Source organism: Homo sapiens, chromosome 13, assembly GCF_000001405.40.
Source record: "Homo sapiens chromosome 13, GRCh38.p14 Primary Assembly".
NCBI classification, from domain to species: Eukaryota; Metazoa; Chordata; class Mammalia; order Primates; family Hominidae; genus Homo; species Homo sapiens.
In genome coordinates, this window is record NC_000013.11 from 46,400,681 (window position 1) to 46,421,880 (window position 21,200).

The following is a 21,200-nucleotide window of genomic DNA, read 5'->3' on the forward strand; positions in this document are numbered from 1 at the left end:
CCATGTGCTCAGTTACCAAATGGGCTTTGAAATTCCATTTGGCCAAGCGCTGTGGCTCACGCCTGTAATCCCAGCACTTTGGGAGGCTGAGGCAGACAGATCATCTGAGGCCAGGAGTTTGAGACCAGCCTGGCCAACATGGTGAAACCCCGTCTGTACTAAAAAATTAGCTGGGTATGGTGGCATGCACATGTAATCCTAACTACTTGGGAGGCGGAGGCACAAGAATCACTTGAACCCAGGAGGTGGAGGTTTCAGTGAGCCAAGATCGCACCACTGCACTCCAGCCTGGGTCAACAGAGCAAGGCTCTGTCTCAAAAAAAAAAAAAAAAATTCTATTTTCCTGCCGTCTGCAGCAGGATTGACTTCCCCATTCCTTGAGACTGACATCAAGCCAAGAATATCAGATTCTCCAAATGTGACCAGTTTGCCTTTCTTCAAATAATCTTGCGATGTGAAGGGAGGTTGCAGAGTCATAAATTTGACTATTTTTAAAAATTTTATTTTCTTTTTAGACTAAAAAGACTAGATCTGAGAGAATATTTTAAATTGACGTTGCGGAGAGAGAAACACAGGACTCTAGCCTTTGTTTTGGTCATCATAGCATAGATAGATACACACACACACACACACACACACCCTTTTATAGTATAAATGAAATGATAAATGTAAAGTACTTAGCACAGTGCCTAGCACACAGGAAACATCTGAAGGAAATTAAAGTATTTTACCCTAAAATATATTTCTTTGACATATTTTGAGATGGCTGCTCAGGGAGACAGCAAAGCTGTCTTGTGGGGGAGATTTGCATCTGCAGAAAATCTGCATTGATGCAACCAGGCCTTCCCTGGTCTACATGTGGGAAAGGTGAACTGAGAGCCTGCCACCTTTAAACATCTGAAAGAAACATTTACCTTCTATTTTCTCTGAGGGCTTCTACCAGTGAGGTTTTATTTACATGAACAAGACCACGTTTACTAGCCAGAGCTCCTCCTTCCTCTTTTTCTCTCTCTCATATAACTTACCTTGCCACTATAACCTGGTTTATTACCAGAACCTGTTTCTGGCCATGCTCTGAGCCCCCATGCTTTCTGTAACCTTCTGTACTCCACTGGGGGTTGGGTAATCATTCTGTGATTCTGCCAATGTACATATTAATAAATTTGTAAACATCTTCTGCAATTATCTGTCTTTTGCAAGTTGATTTTTCAAGGAAACTTCAGAGGGCAAAGGGGAAGTTTTCTCTTGGCCCCTACATATCCAATATATGGTAGCTATTATGATCAAAATACATACTTTAAGTCTGAACGCCATGGCTCACACCTGTAATCTCAGCACTTTACGAGGCCTTGGCCTCCCAACGATCACTTGCGGTCAGGAGTTCGAGACCAGCCTGGGTGACACAGTGAGACTGTGTCTCTACAAAAATTTTGAAACATTAGTCAGCCGTGGTGGCATACGCCTGTAGTCCCAGTTATTTGAGAGGCTAAGGTGGGAGGATTGCTTGTGCCCAGAAGTTTGAGGCTGCAGTCAGCCATGATTGAGCCACTGCACTCCAGCCCAGGCAACACAGTGAGAGCCTATTTCAAAAAAAAAAAAAAAAAAAAAAAAAAGGAGAGAGAGAGAAAAAAAAAGGAAAAAAATACATGCTTTACAGACGTGATGTGAGAGTTAAGTAACATGTGTAAAGCACTTTAGGATAGTGCCTGGCACGTGGTAGATGTTGAATACACCATAGCTTTCATGATGGTGATGATGATGGAGATGAGGAGGAGGAGGACAAGGAGGAGGAGGAGAGGATGGGAGGAAGAGAAGCAAGAGGAGAAGAAAAGGGGAGAGAGGGGGAAGATAAGAAAGGGGAGGGAGAGGAGGTGGTGGTTGGTGGGGAATTGGAGGGGAGAGGAATATAAAGTTTGACTTAAACAGGGATAACAACAGTGGGGTGCTGATAAGTGTTTAACAACCGGCCTTCAGCACACCACTGTGTAAGCGGCAGGATAAGATTAGTTCCAAGAGTCTCCAAGGCCGGTTTTGATGGTGACAGCATGAATGGGAGGTGTGAAGAGGTATGGCAGGAGCTCACGGAGCTTTGGGATTCTCCCATCCTTCCTGCCATTGCAATGACACTCATTCCACAATTAAGACTGGGTGTATCTTTATGGTTTAAAATGATAAATTTTATGTTATGTACATTTTACTATAATAACATTTTTAGTTAAAAATAACATCAACAAGAAAACTGGTGAGATCAAAATAAAATCAATTGTTTAATAGTTAAACAAAAACCCTGAGATATCCTCATGATAACCTTGTTTGGAATTAAGACAGAATCAAGAAGTCAAGCCACTGTAACTTGAAGCATTCCTCTTCAAGAACCTCTCCATCTTCTTCAGTTTCTGTTTTCTCTTTTTCCTCCTGTCCATCACCTGAATCGCCCTTTAAATTTGCAAGTCCTGAGAGTGGTGCCTCACCAAGGGCTCTCTGTGGGCCCTGCGTCTTTGCTGAGCTCACCCTAGTTTGAGCAGTGGTCAGGCAATAGTCAGTTTCTCCTGGCAGAGTCACCATTCCCTTATCTGTGCTCTTCTAAGCCTCTGGAAATTAGAAACTTCCCCTAAGCACTTTCTTTCCAGGAAGGAGACTCAAAATATTCCTTTTCCTGTGCCCCACACCTGCGTTCTCAGCACTCATACTTCTCCAGGTTATATTCCTGTTAGTTGTGTTAAGGTCTTTTTCTGTCCTTTAGTGATTGAAGCAGATGCATTCAATCTGAAATCTGAAAATCTTATATCAAATCTTGGCTCCACTTTGAGTAATGTATTAAAGTCAGATGAGCTTTCCTTCTCTCTTCTGTCAATAGAATTACCTTCCTATGATAAGACTTGGTGGGGGAATTAAGGAGGTAAAGTAATTTACTTAAACATACTTCAACAACCAACAATGATTATCATGCAACCAATGCAACCAAAACTCTTTCTTTGCACTTTTTTCTTTTCTTTTTTCTTTTTTTTTGAAACAGAGTCTCACTCTGTTGCCCAGGCTGGAGTGCAGCGGCGCAATCTCAGCTCACTGCAACCTCTGCCCCTGAGTTCAAGCAATTCTGCCGCCTCAGCCTCCCAAGTAGCTGGTGCCTGCCACCACACCCAGCTAATTTTTGTATTTTTCGTAGAGATGGGGTTTCATCATGTTGGCCAGGCTGGTCTTGAACTCCTGACCGCAGGTGATCTGCCTGCCTAGGCCTCCCAAAGTGCTGGGTTACAGGCGTGAGCCACCGTGCCCAGCCTCTTTGCACTACTTGAGGACCATCAAAGGCAATCGCACTCATGACTCTCAGTCTTACTTTATTGCATTCCATTTCCCCTCCCCTCAGCTTCATTTACACCCAGAGCCTCCTCCCAAGTGTCTCTCACTCTCCAAGTGCCACTTCTTACAGGAAGTTACTCAACACACAGTAGCTAGTGTTTGTGTCTATATTTTCGACAGCAACTGACACAGAGCCTACCACATAATGAGAGCTCCACAAACATTTGTGAAATTGAATGGAGTTTTATCAGAATACAGAGATCTTACTACAAAAAAACTAGAGTAAATAACTTTTTCTTCTAAAAAAAAAGTTCAACCTCAGTTACCTCTCTCATTGCTAACCTCATTCCCTCCCCCTTGTAGCCACCATCACCACCCCAGGGCAGAAAGGGCATCTGGAACATGATGTGGCATTTCCTTCAGCATCCCTACCCCCACCATTAGCTTAATTTGTTAGGACAGTGACCAGGGAGTGACTGCAATCAAAGGGAGGGTGCTGTGTGCTTCTCTCCAGCTCTGAAGTGCGGCTAACTCTCCTTAGGATGTAATCAGAGATTCTTCTTCAGAAGTCCTTGGCGTACTTTTCCTAGCTCACCACAACTATTTCTTCAGTTCACGTCCAAGAGGAATGGGATCATGTTGTATAAATTAAACATTTTGCTTCTCCTCTATCAACCCAGATCCATATTTATATCCACTATTGCTGTTCTGATGATGGAAGATTCCCATCATTGCTTCTTTGGTTCACACTCCAGCAGCAGAGTCATGCGTCTCACAGTCTCTAAGGCCACTATAGTAGTTACTGGATTAACAGTAACATCAAAAAAGAAGGAAAAGGAAAGAAGCAAGGCAGGAAGGGAGGAAGGGAGGGAGGAAAGGGAGGGAAGGAGTGAAAGAGGAAGTGAGAAAGGAAGAGGGGGGAGGGAGGAAGGAAGGAAGGGAGCTTATTCAGCTTATTGTCAAGTTCAAGAGAGGCTCATATTTCTTTATATATAGTAGTAATATTTTCAGAACCAAAAATGAGGATATAGCCTGATGAATGACATTTTCTGATTTTTAATTATACAATTCATAAAGTAATTAAAATTTTGCTAAATTTACTTGAAAACATGTATTAATTAGCCTTTATTGGAAAGAAAGCAATTTAATGTAATCATGTTTATCTGAAAAATTCATGAGATTAGATTATTTTGCTTATGTGGATTGGTTGAAGTGGCAATGGACATAATTCTTAAAGCAGCACAATTTTCCCTAATCAGTTTCTATTCCTGTGACTCTATCTTATGCTTTCTTATGAAATTGAAATGGCATCGAATCTACTTAAACACATTTCAAGAACCAACCATATTAATGCTGCAGTGAGCCATGATTGTGTCACTGTACTTCAGCTTCAGTGACAGAACAAGGTCCTGTCTCAAAAAAAAAAAAAAAAAAAAAACAGCAATAATTATAATGCAACCAAAACTCTTTCTTTGCATTTTTAAAGGATCATCAGAGGTGATCATAACTCTCTACCCTACTTCACCACATTTAGTTGAAGTAGGAGACCACTGGCAGGACTTATTTCTTGGTCCCCATGGTAAAGTAAAGAAACTGGCAGGAACCAGCAGATGGCCAGAAAAGTGATCCCTAGCTGCTCATTAGCATAAGACACTCCTACCAGCACCATGACAGTTCACAAATGCCATGACAACCACCCAGAAGTTACTGCCCCTTTCCTAGAAAGTTATGAATAACCTGCCCCTAAATTTGCATTAGCCCACCTCTTAATTTGCATATAATTGAAAGTGGATATAAATAGAGTTGCCAACAGTCCATAGCTGCCAACTTTGGTTGCCCTGACTGTAAGTTAGCCCTGCTTATCAAGGAGCAGTGCCATTCAACAAAAAATTGCTAATACCACTGGCTCACTCTTGAATTCCTTCCTAGGCAAAGCCAAGAACCCTCTCGGGCTAAGCCCCAATTTGGGGGCTCATCTATCCTGCAACACCTTTGCGCCTCCCTCCAATTTATTTACACCCAGAATCTACTCCCAAGCATCACTCTGTCTCAAATTCCACCTAAACTCTCCCAACATGCTTCTCTGTTTTATTATGCAGATTGACTTTTCAGACCCTTTCCCAATAAGCATAGAGTGATAAAGTGAGAGAAACTCAATGAGAAATTACAGGATTTGCTTCACTGGGTGCATAAAGTGGGAAAAGACTAGAATACTTCCATACTGATCATTTTTTGGCCTATCAAGTATTGTTTTATGCAATTCAACTTTTCACCTCCCAGAAACTTTTCTCAAAATTTTATGCATAGCTTTATAATTTAGTTACGTATTAAACTTGGGTCATCTCTTCCTTCTAAACTTAGAAAAGGAATATAACTGACTAATTAATGTTAAAGGTTTCCATAGACAAATAATCCAGTGGAACAAAAGAGAAAATCCAAAAACAGAGCCACATATATATGACCACTTGATTTGCAACAAAGATGCACTGCAATTCAATGGGAGAAAGAATGGCTTTTTCAGGCCAGGCGCGGTGGCTCATGCCTGTAATCCCAGCACTCTGGGAGGCCGAGGTGGGTGGATCACGAGGTCAGGAGATCGAGACCATCCTGGCTAACATGGTGAAACCCCATGTCTACTAAAAATACAAAAAATTAGCCGGGTGTGGTGGCGGGTGCCTATAGTCCCAGCTACTCGGGAGGCTGAGGCAGGAGAATGGCGTGAACCTGGGAGCTTGCAGTGAGCCGAGATCAGCCACTGCACTCCAGCCTGGGGGACAGAGCGAGACTCCGTCTCAAAAAAAAAACAACAACAACAACAAAAAGAGTGGCTTTTTCAAACAAAAGGTACTTGGGCATTTTTATATCCATGTGGAAAAGACCTGAACATTGACCGTCACCTCACACCATACACAAAAATAAATTTGAGGTGGATCACAGACCTAAATGTGAAACTTAATAAAGCTTTTTAAAAGAGCACAGAGGAGAATACCATAATGATTTGAACAAAGATTATTTAAACAGGACATGAGAAGCACTAGCCAAAAAGAAGAGATTGGTATTTGAAATAGAGCTATTCAATAACATCTATAATTTAGCTGAATTGTTCACATTAGTTATGGTTTATAATTATTGGGGATTCATAATGTATCATGAATGACTACACAGACATGCAGTTTCTTCATAGCATCAACGGTCTTTACAATTTGGTATGTTTTTGCTGTGGCTGGTACCGGCTTTTTCTTTCCATATTCAGTGCTTCCTTCATGAGCTCTTTTAAGGCAGGTCTGGTGGTGACAAAAATCTCTCAGCATGTCTGTAAATGATTTTATTTCTCCTTCGCTTATGAAACTTAGTTTGGCTGGATATGAAATTCTGGGTTGAAAATTCTTTAAGAATGTTGAATATTGGCCCCCACTCTCTTCTGGCTTGCAGGGTTTCTGCAGCGAGATCCGCTGTTAGTCTGATGGGCTTACCTTTGTGAGTAACCCAACCTTTCTGTCTGGCTGCCCTTAACATTTTTTCCTTCATTTCAACCTTGGTGAATCTGATGATTATGTGTCTTGGAGTTGCTCTTCTCAAGGAGTATCTTTTTGGTGTTCTCTGTATTTCTTGAATTTGAATGTTGGCCTGTCTTGCTAGGTTGGGGAAGTTCTCCTGGATAATATCCTGAAGAGTGTTTTCCAACTTGGTTCCTTTCTCCCTGTGACTTTCAGGTACACCAGTCAAACGTGGGTTTGGTCTTTTCACATAGCCCCATATTTCCTGGAGGTTTTGCTTGTTCCTTTTATTTTTTTTTTCTCTAATCTTGTCTTCATGCTTTATTTCATTAAGTTGATCTTCAGTCTCTGATATCCTTTCTTCTGATTGATCAATTCAGCTATCGATACTTCTGTATGCCTCACAAAGTTCTCCTGCTGTGTTTTTCAACTCTATCAGGTCATTTAACTTCTTCTCTAAACTCTTATTTTAGTTAGCAATTCCGCTAACCTTTTTTCAAGATTCTTAGCTTCTTTTCAATGGTTTAGAACATGCTGCTTTAGCTCAGAGGAGTTTGCTATTACCCAGCTTCTGAAGCCTACTTCTGTCCATTTGTCAAACTCATTCTCCATCCAGTTTTGTTCCCTTGCTGGCGAGGAGTTATGATCCTTTGGAGGAGAAGAAGTATTCTGGTTTTTGGAATTTTCAGGCTTTTTGCAATGGTTTTTCCTCATCTTCATGAATTTATCTACCTTTGGTCTTTGATGTTGGTGACTTTCAAATGGAGTTTCTGTCTGGATGTCCTTTTTGTTGATGTTGAAGCTATTCCTTTCTGTTTGTTAGTTTTCATTCTATCACTCAGGCCCCTCTTCTGCAGGTCTGCTGGAGTTTGCTGGAGGTCCACTCCAGACCCCCTTTGCCTGGGTTTCACCAGCAAAGGCTGCAGAACAACAAGGATTGCTGCCTGTTCCTTCTTGTGGAAGCTTCGTCCCAGAGAGGCATCTGTCAGATGCCAGCAAGAGCTCTCCTGTATGAGGTGTCTGTGGACCCCTGCTGGGAGGTGTCTGTCAAGCCCTGCTGGGAGGTGTCTCCCAGTCAGGAGGCACAGGGGTCAGGGACCCACTTGAGTAGGCAGTCTGTCCCTTAGCAGAGCTCGAGCAGTGTGCTGGGAGATCTGCTGCTCTCTTCAGAGCCAGCAGGCAGGAACGTTTAAGTCTGCTGAAGCTGTGCCCACAGCTGCCCCTTCCCCCAGGTGCTCTGTCCCAGGAAGATGGGAGTTTTATCTATAAGCCCCTGACTGGGGCTGCTGCCTTTCTTTCAGAGATGCCCTGCCCAGAGAGGAGGAATCTAGAGAGGCAGTCTGGCTACAGAGGCTTTGCAGAGCTCCAGTTTGCTCCACCCAGTTCAAACATCCTGGTGGCTTTGTTTATACTGTGAGGGGAAAACTACCTACTGAAGCCTCAGTAATGGTGGACGCTCTTCCCCCAGCGAAGCTCGAGTGTCTCAGATCGACTTCAGACTGCTGTAATGGCAGTGAGAATTTCAAGCCAGTGGATCTTAGCTTGCTGGACTCCATAGGGGTGGGATCTGCTGAGTTAGACCACTTGACTTCCTGGCTTCAGCACCCTTTCCAGGGGAGTGAATGGTTTCATCTCACTGGTGTTCCAGGTGCCACTGGGGTATGAAAAAAACTCCTGCAGCTAGGTTATTGTCTGCCCAAATGGCTGCCCACTTTTGTGCTTGAAACCCAGGGCCCTGGTGGCATAGGCACCCGAGGGAATCTCCTGGACTACAGGTTGCTAAGACTGTGAGAAAAGCATAGTATCTAGGCCACAGTGCATTGTTCCTCACGGCACAGTCCCTCACAGCTTCCCTTGGCTAGGGGAAGGAGTTCCCGACCCCTTGTGGTTCCAAGGTGAGGTGACTCCCCACCCTGCTTTGGCTTGCCCTCCATGGGCTACACCCACTGTCTAACCAGTCCCAATGAGATGAGCTGGGTACCTCAGTTAGAAATGCAGAAATCACCTGCCTTCTGTGTTGATCTCTCCAGGAGCTGCAGACTGGAGCTGTTCCTATTCAGCCATCTTGCTAGCAACCTCTTCTATAATATAGTTTTTAGAAATTCTTTCTAACTTAAACTTGCATATATTCTAGACATTTCATTCCTAGATATTTATGTTCACATGAAGATTTATACACAAATTTTTATAGCTTTATTTGTAAAGCACCAAACTGGAAACATTCTAAATATCCATCAACAGGTAAATGAATAAACAAATTGTATATCCATAAAGCAGAATACTATTCAGAAATTTTAAAGTGTTGATTAACACCAAAATGTGAATAAATCTGAAAACAAAAACAAGGTAGTAAAATAAACTCCACAAAGTGAGTACATAATGTGAGATTCCACTTATATAAAATGCTTAAAATAAGAAAAACAAAATATAATGACAGAAAGGAAATTAATAGTTGTAGAAAGGAGAGGTTGTAGGACTCTATATGAATTACAAAAGAAGATACTCTTGGGGCTGGTGGGTATACTCATCAATTTAATTGCAGTGTTTATTTGAGTGGCTTATATGCATATCAATTCAACAAATTAAACACTTTATGCACTGATTATTGTACATCAATTAAACCTCAACAAAAATATTAAAATGCATTAATCGGCATGTTAAATATTACTAGAAGGAAGCACTTTTAAAAGGATTAATATGTCATTAAGATTTAAAAATTGCTATACCACAAATTAATATATAAATGATGACTATAGTAAATCCTAACATTAAATAACAGTTTTCATTATTATACTGTACATATTCATTTCATATTATTTTGTTTTATTTTTGTTTATGTTTTGCCTTTTTGAAATCTGTTAGTAAACTAGATATGGGAAATTTGCTAACCATTTTTAAAGTAGCTTCATAATTCTGGAGTCCGTAAATAAATGGGGTATAAATACAAACCACTTGGGATTTTAAAAATATACTGTCATGCTCACTTTGGCACTTATACTAAAATTGAAACCATAGAGAGAAAACTAGCATGGCCCCTATGCAAAGATGACACACGCATCTTTGAAGCATTCCATATTTTTACCAGAATAGCCAGATTAGAGAGAAACATAACTGACCTGATGGAGCTGAAGAACACAACATGGGAAATTCACAGTGCAATGACATGTATCAATAGCAGAATAGATTAAGTGGAGAAAAGAATCTCAGAGCTTGAAGACTATCTTTCTGAAATAAGACAGGCAGACAAGAATAGAGAAAAAAGAATGAAAAGGAATGAACAAAACCTCTGAGAAATGTGGGACTATGTAAAAAGACTGAACCTACAACTGATTGGGGTACTTGAAAGAGACAGGGAGGACAGACCCAAGTTGGAAAACATACTTCGGGAGGTCATCCAGGAGAACTTCCTCCAATCTAGAAAGACAGGCCAAGATTCAAATTCAAGAAATCTAGGGAGCCCCAGTAAGATACTTCACAAGAAGATCAACGCCAAGGCACATAATTGTCAGATTCTCCAAGGTTGAAAGAAAAGAAAAAATGTTACGCGCAGCCAGAGAGAAAGGCTGGGTCACCTACACAGGGAAATCCGTCAGTATAACAACAGACCTCTCAGTGTAAACCTTACAAGACAGAAGCAATTTGGGGCCAATATTCAACACTCTTAAAGAAAACAATTTCCAACCCAGAATTTCATATCCAGCCCAACTAAGTTTCATAAGCGAGGGAGAAATAAGATTCTTTTCAGACAAGCAAAGGATGAGGGAATAAGTCACCTCCAGGCCTGCTTTGCAAGAGTTCCTGAAGGAAGCACTAAATATGAAAAGGAAAAACTGTTACTAGCCACTACAAAAACATACTGAAGTATACAGACCAGTGACACTATGAAGTGACCACATAATAAGTCTGCAAAATAACCAGCTTGAATTATGATGACAGGATCAAACTCACACATAGCAATATTAACATTAAATGTAAATGAGCTAAATGCCCCAATTAAAAGACATAGGATGGCAAGCTGGACGGGGTCAAAATCTGTTGGTATGCTGTCTTCAAGAGACCCATCTCACATGCAAAGACACACATAGGTTCACCATAAAGGGACTAAGGAAAATTTACCAAGCAAATGGAAAACAGAAAAAAGTAGGGGTCACAAACCTAGTTTCTGACAAAACAAATTTTAAACCAACAAGGATCAGAAAAGACAAAGAAGGGCCCTATATAATGGTAAAGGAGTCAATTCAACAAGAAGAGCTAACTATTCCTAAATAGATATACACCCAATAAAGGAGCACCTGGATTTATAAAGCAAGTTCTTAGAGACGTACAAAGAGATGTAGACTCCCACATAATAATAGTGGGAGACTTTAACTCCACACTGACAATGTTAGATGGATCATCAAGACAGAAAATTAACAAAGATACTCAGGACCTGAACTCAGCTCTGGATCAAGCAGACCTGATCAATATATACAGAACTCCTCATCTTGCAAACAACAGGATATACATTCTTCTCATTGCCATATACACTTACTCTAAAATTGATCACATAATCTGAAATAAAACACTCTTCAGCAAATGCAGAAGAACTGAAATCATAACAGTATCTCAGATCACAGTACAATCAAATTAGAATTCAAGACTGAAAAATTCACTTAGAACCACAAAACTACATGGAAATTGAACAAGCTGTTCCTGAGTCACTCGTGGGTAAATAATGAAATTAAGGCAAAATCAAGAAGTTCTTTTAAACTAATGAGAACAAAGAGACAATGTATCAGAATCTCTGGGATGCTGATAGAGCAGTGTTATCAGGGAAATGTATAGCACTAAATGCTCACATCAAAAAGCTAGGAAGATGTCATAATAACCTAATATCACAACTAAAAGAACTAGAAAACCAAAAGCAAACAAACCCAAAGATGGCAGAAGATAAGCAATAACCAAGATCAGAGGGCAACTGAAAGATAAAGACATGAAAATTCCTTCAACAAATCAATGAATCCAGGAGCTTTTTTTTTTTTCAAAAAAATAATAAAGTAGACCACTAGCTAGACTAATAAAGAAGAAAAGAGAGAAGAATCAAGTAGACACAATCAGAAATGATAAGGGGGATATCACCAATGACCCCACAGTAAAGCAAACAACCATCAGAGAATACTATGAACACCTGTATGCACATAAACCACATAAACTAGAAAATCTGGAAGAAATGGATAAATTCCTGAATACATACATCCTCCCAAGACTGAACCAGAAAGAAATTGAAACCCTGAGTAGACCAATAATGAGTTCTAAAATTGAGTCAATAATAAGTAGTCTACCAACCGAAAAAGCCCAGGACCAGATGGATTTACAGCTGCATTCTAACAGAGGTACAAAGAAAAGCTGGTACCATTTCTATTGAAGTTATTCCATAAAGTTGAAAAGGAGGGACTCCTCCATAACTAATTTTATGAGGCCAGCATCATCCTGATACCAAAAACCTGACCACAATACACCAAAAATAGAAAACTTCAGCTAATATCCCAGATTAACACTGATGCAAATATCTTTAATAAATACTGACAAACCAAATCCAGCAGCACGTCAAAAAGCTTATCCATCACATTCAAGTTAGTTTCATCCCTAGGGTGCAAGGTTGGTTTAACATATTAAAATAAATAAATACAATTCATCACATAAACAGAGCTAAAGAAAAAAACCACATGATTTTCTCAATAGATGCAGAAAAGACCTTTGACAAAATTCAGCATCCCTTTATCTTAAAAACTCTCAATAAACTAGGTTTTAAAGGAATATACCTCAAGATAATAAGAACCATATCTAACAAACCCACATCAAATATCATACTTAAAGGGCAAAAGCTGGAAGTATTCTCCTTGAAAACCATCATAGGACAAGGATGCACTCTCTCACCACTCCTATTCAAAATAGTATGGAAGTTTTGATCAGGGCAATCAGACAAGAGAAATAAATAAAGGGTATTTAAATAGGGAGAAAGAATGTCAAATTATCTTTATTTGCAGATGGTCCTATGTCAAGAAAATTTCATTGTCTCAGTCAAAAAACTTCTTAAGCTAATAAGAAACTTAAGCAAAGTCTCAGGATACAAAATCCATGTGCAAAAATCACTAGCATTCCAATACGCCAGCAACAGTCAAGCAGAGAGCTAAATCAGGAATGAACTGCAATACACAATTGTTACAAAAAGAAAAAAATATTTAGGAACACAGCTTATAAGGGCAGTGAAGGACCTTTTCAAGAACTATGAACTATTGCTTAAGGAAATCAAAGAAGACACAAGCAAATGGAAAAACGTTCCATGCTCATGAATAGGAAGAATCAATATTGTGAAAATGGCCATACTGCCCAAAGTAATTTATAGATTCAATGCTATTCGCATTAAACTACCATTGATGTTCTTCACAGAAGTAGAATAAACTATTTTAAAATTCATATGGAGTCAAAAAGGGAGCCTGAATAGCCAAGACAATCCTAAGCAAAAAGAACAAAGCTGGAGGCATCATGCTACTTGACTTCAAACTATACTACAAGGCTACAGTAACCAAAACAGCATGGTACTGGTACAAAAACAGATACAAAAACAAACAGAACAGAATAGAGACCTCAGAAATAAAACCACACACCTATAAGCATCTGATCATCAAAAAACCTGACAAAAACAAGCACTGGGGAAAGGATTCCCTATTTAATAAATGATGCCGGGAAAACTGGCTAGCCATATGCAGCAAATTAAAACTGGACCCCTTCCTTATACCTTATACAAAAATTAACTCAAGAGAGATTAAAGACTTAAATGTAAAACTGGAAACTATAAAAACCATAGAAAAAAATCTAGGCAATATCATTCAAGACATTGGCACCAGCAAAGATTTCATGATGAAAATGCCAAAAGCAATTTCAAAAGCAAAATTTGACAAATGGGATCTAAGTAAACTAAAGAGCTTTTGCACAGCAAAAGAAAGTATCATCAGAGTGAACAAGTAGCCTACACAATGGGAGAATATTTTTGAAATCTATCCATCTGACAAGGCTTTAATATGGAAAGTCTACAAGAAACTTAAGCAAACTTACAAGAAAAAAAGCAAACAACCCCATTAAAAAGTGGGCAAAGAACATGAACAGACACGTCTCAAAAGAAGACATACACGCGGTCAACAAACATGAAAAAAAAACTCAACATCACTGATCATTAGAGAAATGCAAATCAAACCCACAATGAGATACCATCTCGTGCCAGTGATAATGGCAATTATTAAAAGGCCAAGAAACAACAGATGCTGGTGAGGTTGCAGGGGAAAAGGAATGCTTTTACACAGTTGGTGGGAATGTAAATTAGTTCAACCATTGTGGAAGACAGTGTGGCAATTCCTCAAAAATCTAGAGTTAGATATATTATTTGACCCAGCAATCCCATTACTGAGTATATACCCAAAGGAATATAAATTATTCTACTATAAAGATACATGCGCACATATATTTATTTATTTATTTTTTTTTTTTATTTTTTGAGACAGAGTCTCTCTCGGTCGCCCAGGCGGGAGTGCAGTGGCGCGATCTTGGCTCACTGCAAGCTCTGCCTCCTGGGTTCACACCATTCTCCTGCCTCAGCCTCCCAAATAGCTGGGACTACAGGCGCACACTGCTACACCTGGCTAATTTTTTGTATTTTTAGTAGAGAGGGGGTTTCACCATGTTAGCCAGGATGGTCTCGATCTCCTAACCTTGTGATCCGCCCGCCTCAGCCTCCCAAAGTGCTGGGATTACAGGCGTAAGCCACCGCGCCCGGCCCCATGCACACGTATATTTATTGCAGCACTCTTCGCAATAGCAAAGACATGGAAACAACCCAAATGCCCATCAACGATAGACTGAATAAAGATAATGTGATACATATACACCATGGAATACAATGCAGCCATAAAAGGGAACAAGATAATGTCCTTTGGAAGGATATGGACAGAGCTGGAAGCTGTTATCCGCAGCAAATTTTTGCAGGAAAAGAAAACCAAACACTAATGTTCTTACTTAAAAGTGGGAGCTGAACAATGAGAACACATGGACACACTGTGGGGGAAACAACACATATTGGTGCCTGTCAGGGGAGTTGTGGTGGGAGGGGGCTCATCAGAAAGAATAGCTAATGGATGCTGGGCTTAATACTTAGGTGATGGGATGATCTGTGCAGCAAATCACCATGGTGCACATTTACCTATGTAACAAACCACATATCCTGCACATGTACTCCCGAACTTAAAAGTTAAAGGAAAAAAAAGAAAATGTAACCAAATTAAATTTAAATTGAATCATTTAAATTAAATGAAAATGATTTAAACCATTTGATTAAAAGATCAAATCAAATAAGATCTAGTATTTGAGAGCACAGCATGGTGACTACCGTCAACAGTAATTTATTATGCATTTTAAAATAACTAAAACATTATAATTGGGTTGTTTGTAACACAAAGAAAGGATAAGTGCCTGAGGTGATGAATACCCCATTTACCCTGATGTGATTATTATGCATTGTACGCCTCAATCAAAAGATCTCATGTTCCCCATTAATGTACACACCTAACATGTACACACAAAAATTAAAACTTATTTAAAAAGACAAAATAACGCCTATTCCCGTCTTTTATATATCTAAATGTGACAAATAATAAATATAAATAATGCAAAAAGGCTTTACTTAGCATAGTTACCTTATTGTTACCTTAGCCTTATTAATAGCAAAATATTTTATAAACTTAAGTTAAATATCATCGATAAAGTTCTAATCAGCTGCCCATAAGATATTTAAGACATTTTTCTAAATACAAAAAATTAAGTTTCCATGCTTTTGATGGAGCATCTACATGGGAAAATTTTAAATTGCATCAGAAAAGGCAGAGAAAAGTGAATTATGATTTCCAGGAAGACAGAGTAACCTTTGCATTTTAATAATAAGTATGTGATTCATGCCAGATTCCTATGACAATTCATAACTATATTCTTGGATATTTTGATTCTACCTGGCTTGACTAAAAAATAATCTTAATGGAACATTAAATGAGGAGTAGAGAGACAACCTGTAATCAAAATCAAATTATTCTCTGATCTAATTCATCCCGAAGATTCTTAGAATAGTTTATTCCTCACAGTATATTTACTGATACATTGCTGCTTAAAAAAATCACTTTATTTAATAACGACTTGGTTATATATGACTACAGGTAACAAGAACGTCTTTTTCAGGAATCAAATACAAATTTCTGAAACAGTGACTGATAATGCAAAACAAAGGGAAACTAGTGTTCAATGGAATATGGAGGGTCAGATGTGGATAAAATATTTCAAAACAAAAAACAGGAGTACCTTAACATTGTAATCGAAATGCAAATGTTTAATCACTCTTTATTCCACCAGGAGAAATGCACTTAAAGTAATGTAATACTAGCCACAACTTATTTGAGAAAAGAATCAAAAGCAAAGATGTCAGGCAGAATTTATATTAAGTTGCAAAAAGTAAAGTCTGGGTTAGATAGAAAAGCAATTATCTCATTTCACATGATAGAAATAACAGAATATTTAGACTATCTTTTCTTCTCATGAGAGAACACTCAATAAATTGAGATAAGAGCATTTTCTCCTATTTCCATTTTAGACATTATATTATTTTTTCATTTCTCATGCCTGGTTTTGTTAAGTAAGCACTCTCTTGTAGCCAGAAATCATTCTGTCAAAGGATAATAATTCATTTTGTTGTAATTTTGTTTAGTTTAACACAAACACACACCCTTATTCTTTAACTTGTATACTGGATTACTGATTAATTGTTGAGGCACTATTTGGACAATTAAAAATTAGAGACTCCTTTTGGTATAATGATTTTTATAAATTGATTTGGTTTAATATTAATCATTATGAAATAGGTAATAGAGTATTTTTTCCAAGATAATTACATATATATGTGGATGATTTGTGCCCTTTTCAGTTTTTTCTCGCTTTGTATTTTTAACTTGTTTCTCAAGGATTTTGTCTGAAAACATACTGTCATTTGTTACTTATGAGGCGAACATTGTTAACATTAAAATTTGCCATTGGTGCTTACTGTAATCCTAAATTTGATGTGAAAAAATTCCTCCTACATTCCTGCTACTATATTGGTAGAGTCAACTGTCAAAAATAATAATATAAATTTGTAATAAAACAGACATTGTTGATTTTCAAAAGAATAACAAACATTTCAAAAGAATAACAAATAAGAGGGAAAAAAGTTACATACAAAGCTGCCTACATAGAGAAATAACCCTTCAACAATATTATAAAATTTATTTTAGCACTGAAATGTGTTGATCACATTTGCATGAGGAAAAACATCATATTTTACAGTTATTTTAGATATTTACATAAAAATGAGGCTCACAAATAAATCTATATTGACAAAGAAGGACAATGTTTGTGCTGTACTGAGAATGACAACTGTGATGAATCAAGGACAACTGTGAGAGTTAAGTTCAAAAGGAACTGACTTGATGAATAGCAATTTTACCTCAGGCCACAAAGTACACTAGGTCATTGTCTGCAGGCTCTTCTGAACAGCCTGTGTTCATCCAGAATTATACCGGAAGGACAGAACCTGTGTGAGATGAGACAGAAGAGATCACCTTTACTGCCCCAAAGTATATTAATGCTCTTTTTGCAGCTCTCACCATCTTTTAGAGATGCTTATGTTGATGCTTTTTTGATAAACCGCTTAGCCAAAAAATATCTTGAGAAAGTGCTAAACAACTACAATTGAACTTTTATTGTTGGTAAATAGAAAACTTTGATCATTTAATGCACAACACTACAGTGAATGATGGCGGAGTTAAAGATGAAACATGCCTGATTATATAATTATGGTCAAGAATATGATACGCTTTAGCTATAAAGTGCTTTTATTGGAAACAATTTGTCCACTCACCTTCAGATCTCAGTATAAAAGTGGGTTCTCAGACTGGTCTCCCTAAATGCACAGAGTAAACTAGATTCAACTACTATAGGCATTTGCAAATCTCTATACATGATTTGGAAATTATTTGTCACTTTAGTGATATGTCTCCGTTGTTCACTAGACAATATGCTCTGTGATAGTAGGTCACATATTTGCTTTGTTCAATACTGTGCCCCAGAGTAATTTTGGGGGTACATATTAGACATTCTGTGCATATTTGCTAAATACATATATGAATCAATTGATTTTATAAGTGAAAAACTAGAAGAACCACCTGTATAATATGGATACTACATAAATGCAATGTGTTATAATTATGAAGCAGCATATGGTAATTCATATTTCATTAACATAAGAGGTAGAGACATTTTTCAAAAAGCAGAAAACCAAGAATCACAGGATTGGGTTTATATAAGAAGTGTCACTAAAATTTGTGTGGTCTAGGCAAATTTACTCATAAAATTAGCGTGAAAATTCACTGAGATAATAAGTGTAGAATGTTCTATAACACTCTGTATTTTATATATTTGATGAGTCATAGATATTAGTAGTAAAATTATGGCAACATAACACCTGGCCTTCTGCATAGGTGACCATGCTACATGTGTTTTTCTTCCTGGCAGTTGCCTTCCATACAAGACTACAATCTCTCCCTGTTCTACTCAGAAATATGAATGTGACTCTTGTTGGCAATGAAAGGTAGAAACGCATGAATCAAGTGCAGATGTCTTTTCTCTTCTGCTGTGATGTATGGAAATAGTCTAGATAGAAGCTGCTTTGCGATTTGAGTCCTGCAAATTAGATGACATTGAGCAGAGCAACCACTGACCCATAATTAAAATAAAATGGGAAAATGAAATAAGGTCTGTTTTAATAAGTTTCTATGATTTTTAGAATGTTTTCTACAGCTGCATGACATGACCTAATCCGACAGATTTAACAACCCTCTTTTTTAGTTAGAAGCACTGAAAATTTGATGGCAAGATTACATAAAGAAAGAATGATTGCTATAGTGGCCCAAAACATGATCCAGAAACTTATATCAGAAGAGCAGTGTTGAGAGTAAATATTTTACATTTTTCAAGCAAGCATTTTTTTTAACATTGAAAGTGCCATTAGAGTTTTAAAATAGTAAGCTTTAAGGCAATCTTAAGATTTACACTATAAACAACTGGTGGGAAATAAAGTAGAAAAACCAGCCTAGCACAGGGCAAGAGTCTAGAAGTAGTGAAGACAATGTTTAGGTGCTAGTGAGTGCCTGAGAGGGCCCTGTGCTGGTGTGATTCCTGGTTTTCTGCTGTTTAAAAAATTTATCCACCACTCACGTGAATGAAATATGAATGACTGTGCCATAGGAACACCCTCCACCCAAGAAAAATGTGGACATCTGAAATGAGAGAAAATGTGCGGTCGGCATTTGATGAGGTGCCAGACCTCATGATCACTGTCCAGTACTAGCGTGGTGAAGCACTGGAGGCAGGTGTATGGTGAGGCACTACTAGGCTGAGGGTCTCTAAGACAATCTCTAGCTCCAGCCTAGATACCAGACTACTGCTGCCGTATAATTGACTCTAGGTAAACAAAGAGAAGAACCACCAAGTTTGCCAATGCACAGAATCATGAGAAGTAATTAATTGTTGTTTAAGCCACTATTGTGTTATGGAATGTATTAGCCTACTTGGGCTGCCATAACAAAATACCACAGCCTGGCTTAAATGTCAGAAATTTATTTTCTTACAGTTCTGGTGTCTATACATCTAGATCAAGGTAGTGTCAGGGTTTGTCTCCAGTGAGGTCTCTCTTCCTGGTTTGCAGATGGCCCTTCTGGCAGTAGCTTCACATGGCCTTTCTTCTGGGTGTGCACAGAGATAGAGATGTCATTTCTTATAACATCATCAGCCCTATTCTCACAATAATGACTTCATTTAACAATTATCACTTTCGTATAGGCTCTATCTCCAAATAAAATCCACTGGGAGATAGGGATTCAACATTTGAATTTTGCCACAGTTCAGCCCATCACATGCAACTAAGGCCAACCGAAACAATATATATTTTTGAATTGTTTTAATGTTCCATTATCAATTCATTTATTTCTGGAGCAATAGTGTAGTCTTAGTTCACAGCTTTAATAATGGCATCTATTTGCCTGGCGCAGTGTCTCACGCCTGTAATCCCAGCACTTTGGGAGGCCAAGGCGGGTGGATCACCTGAGGTTGGGAGTTCAAGACCAGCCTGACCAACACAGTGAAACCCCATCTCTACTAAAACTATAAAATTAGCTGGGCATGGTGGCACATGCCTGTAATCCCAGCTACTCAGGAGGCTGAGGCAGGAGAATCGCTTGAACCTGGGAGGTAGAGGTTGCAGTGAGCCGAGATCGCACCATTGCATTCCAGCCTGGTGACACAGTGAGACTCCGTCTCAAAAAAAAAAAAAAAAGAAAAAAAAAGAAAGAAAGACATCTGTTAAGAAAATTTCCTGCTTTTATTATATTTTCCCTTTTTTTGACATTGATTTATTCAGAAATATATTTTAGTTTCCAAACACATTTTTCCTGGTTTCTCTTTATTTTTGCTTAATTGGATTGTGGTTATAGGCTTCTATTTTTAAAATAAAATTCTGTTAGCTTTATTAATATCTATTGACAAAAATTATATGAGTACACAATGTGATGATTTGATATACGTATGCCTTGTGAAATTTTTATATACCTGTTATATTTATACAAATAAAAAGACACAATCTTTTTAAATGACTCTGTTTTTAATATTTGACTGTTGGATAGCTTTGAGGCCTAAATTGCCCCTTTCTGTTTTTGTGCTATTTCTGGAAAAGCAGATAGAGCCCACAGGCACCTTTCTTTGATGAACAGGAAAGATCAAACAACACAAACCCAAGCTCCCATGCAGAAACCCTCTCTCTGCTCCTCCACCTTAAACACTCAATCAAAAAGTCCCATTATGTGAGTAATAAATCTTTTTATACCTTGGTGTTTTTGTGGTATAATCAATCTCCACATCCATATCAGTTTTGGGTTGGAGGGATGGATCCCATAGTGAACCAGAAAACAATTGGTATGTGAACAGGATAGCCTAGGTAATGACCACCACCTGTGGCCCTTTACGTCCTGGTTCACTGATTGGCTCTGCTCTCTGCTGGACAGTATGTACTTTGAGCTGTTGCCAGCTGAATTCCATGTGCTTTGAGCTTTACTTCTTAGTGCCACATATGTTACTTCTGTCAAGGTTCTGCTTCATATTTAACTGGCATTATTTGAAAATTTTGGTAGTTGGCGCTCAAGAATACCAGCATGGGATTAGGGATCTTCCTTAACATGGCACAGATTGTGTGTCTCAGCCTATACCTATCTGTGTGTCAAATTAAATCATTTATTTTGATCT

General features: G+C 38.4%; 1 pseudogene, besides 1 other annotated feature; it reads left to right on the forward strand.

The window, feature by feature from the left end:
* Nucleotides 1,039-1,128: an enhancer, noted in NCBI's record as "active region_7703". NCBI's record gives its function as "activates an Ori minimal core promoter by ATAC-STARR-seq in GM12878 lymphoblastoid cells {active_cell/tissue: GM12878}" and the evidence as "EXISTENCE:reporter gene assay evidence [ECO:0000049][PMID:35858748]".
* Nucleotides 9,774-9,877, forward strand: RNU6-68P (RNA, U6 small nuclear 68, pseudogene; annotated as a pseudogene).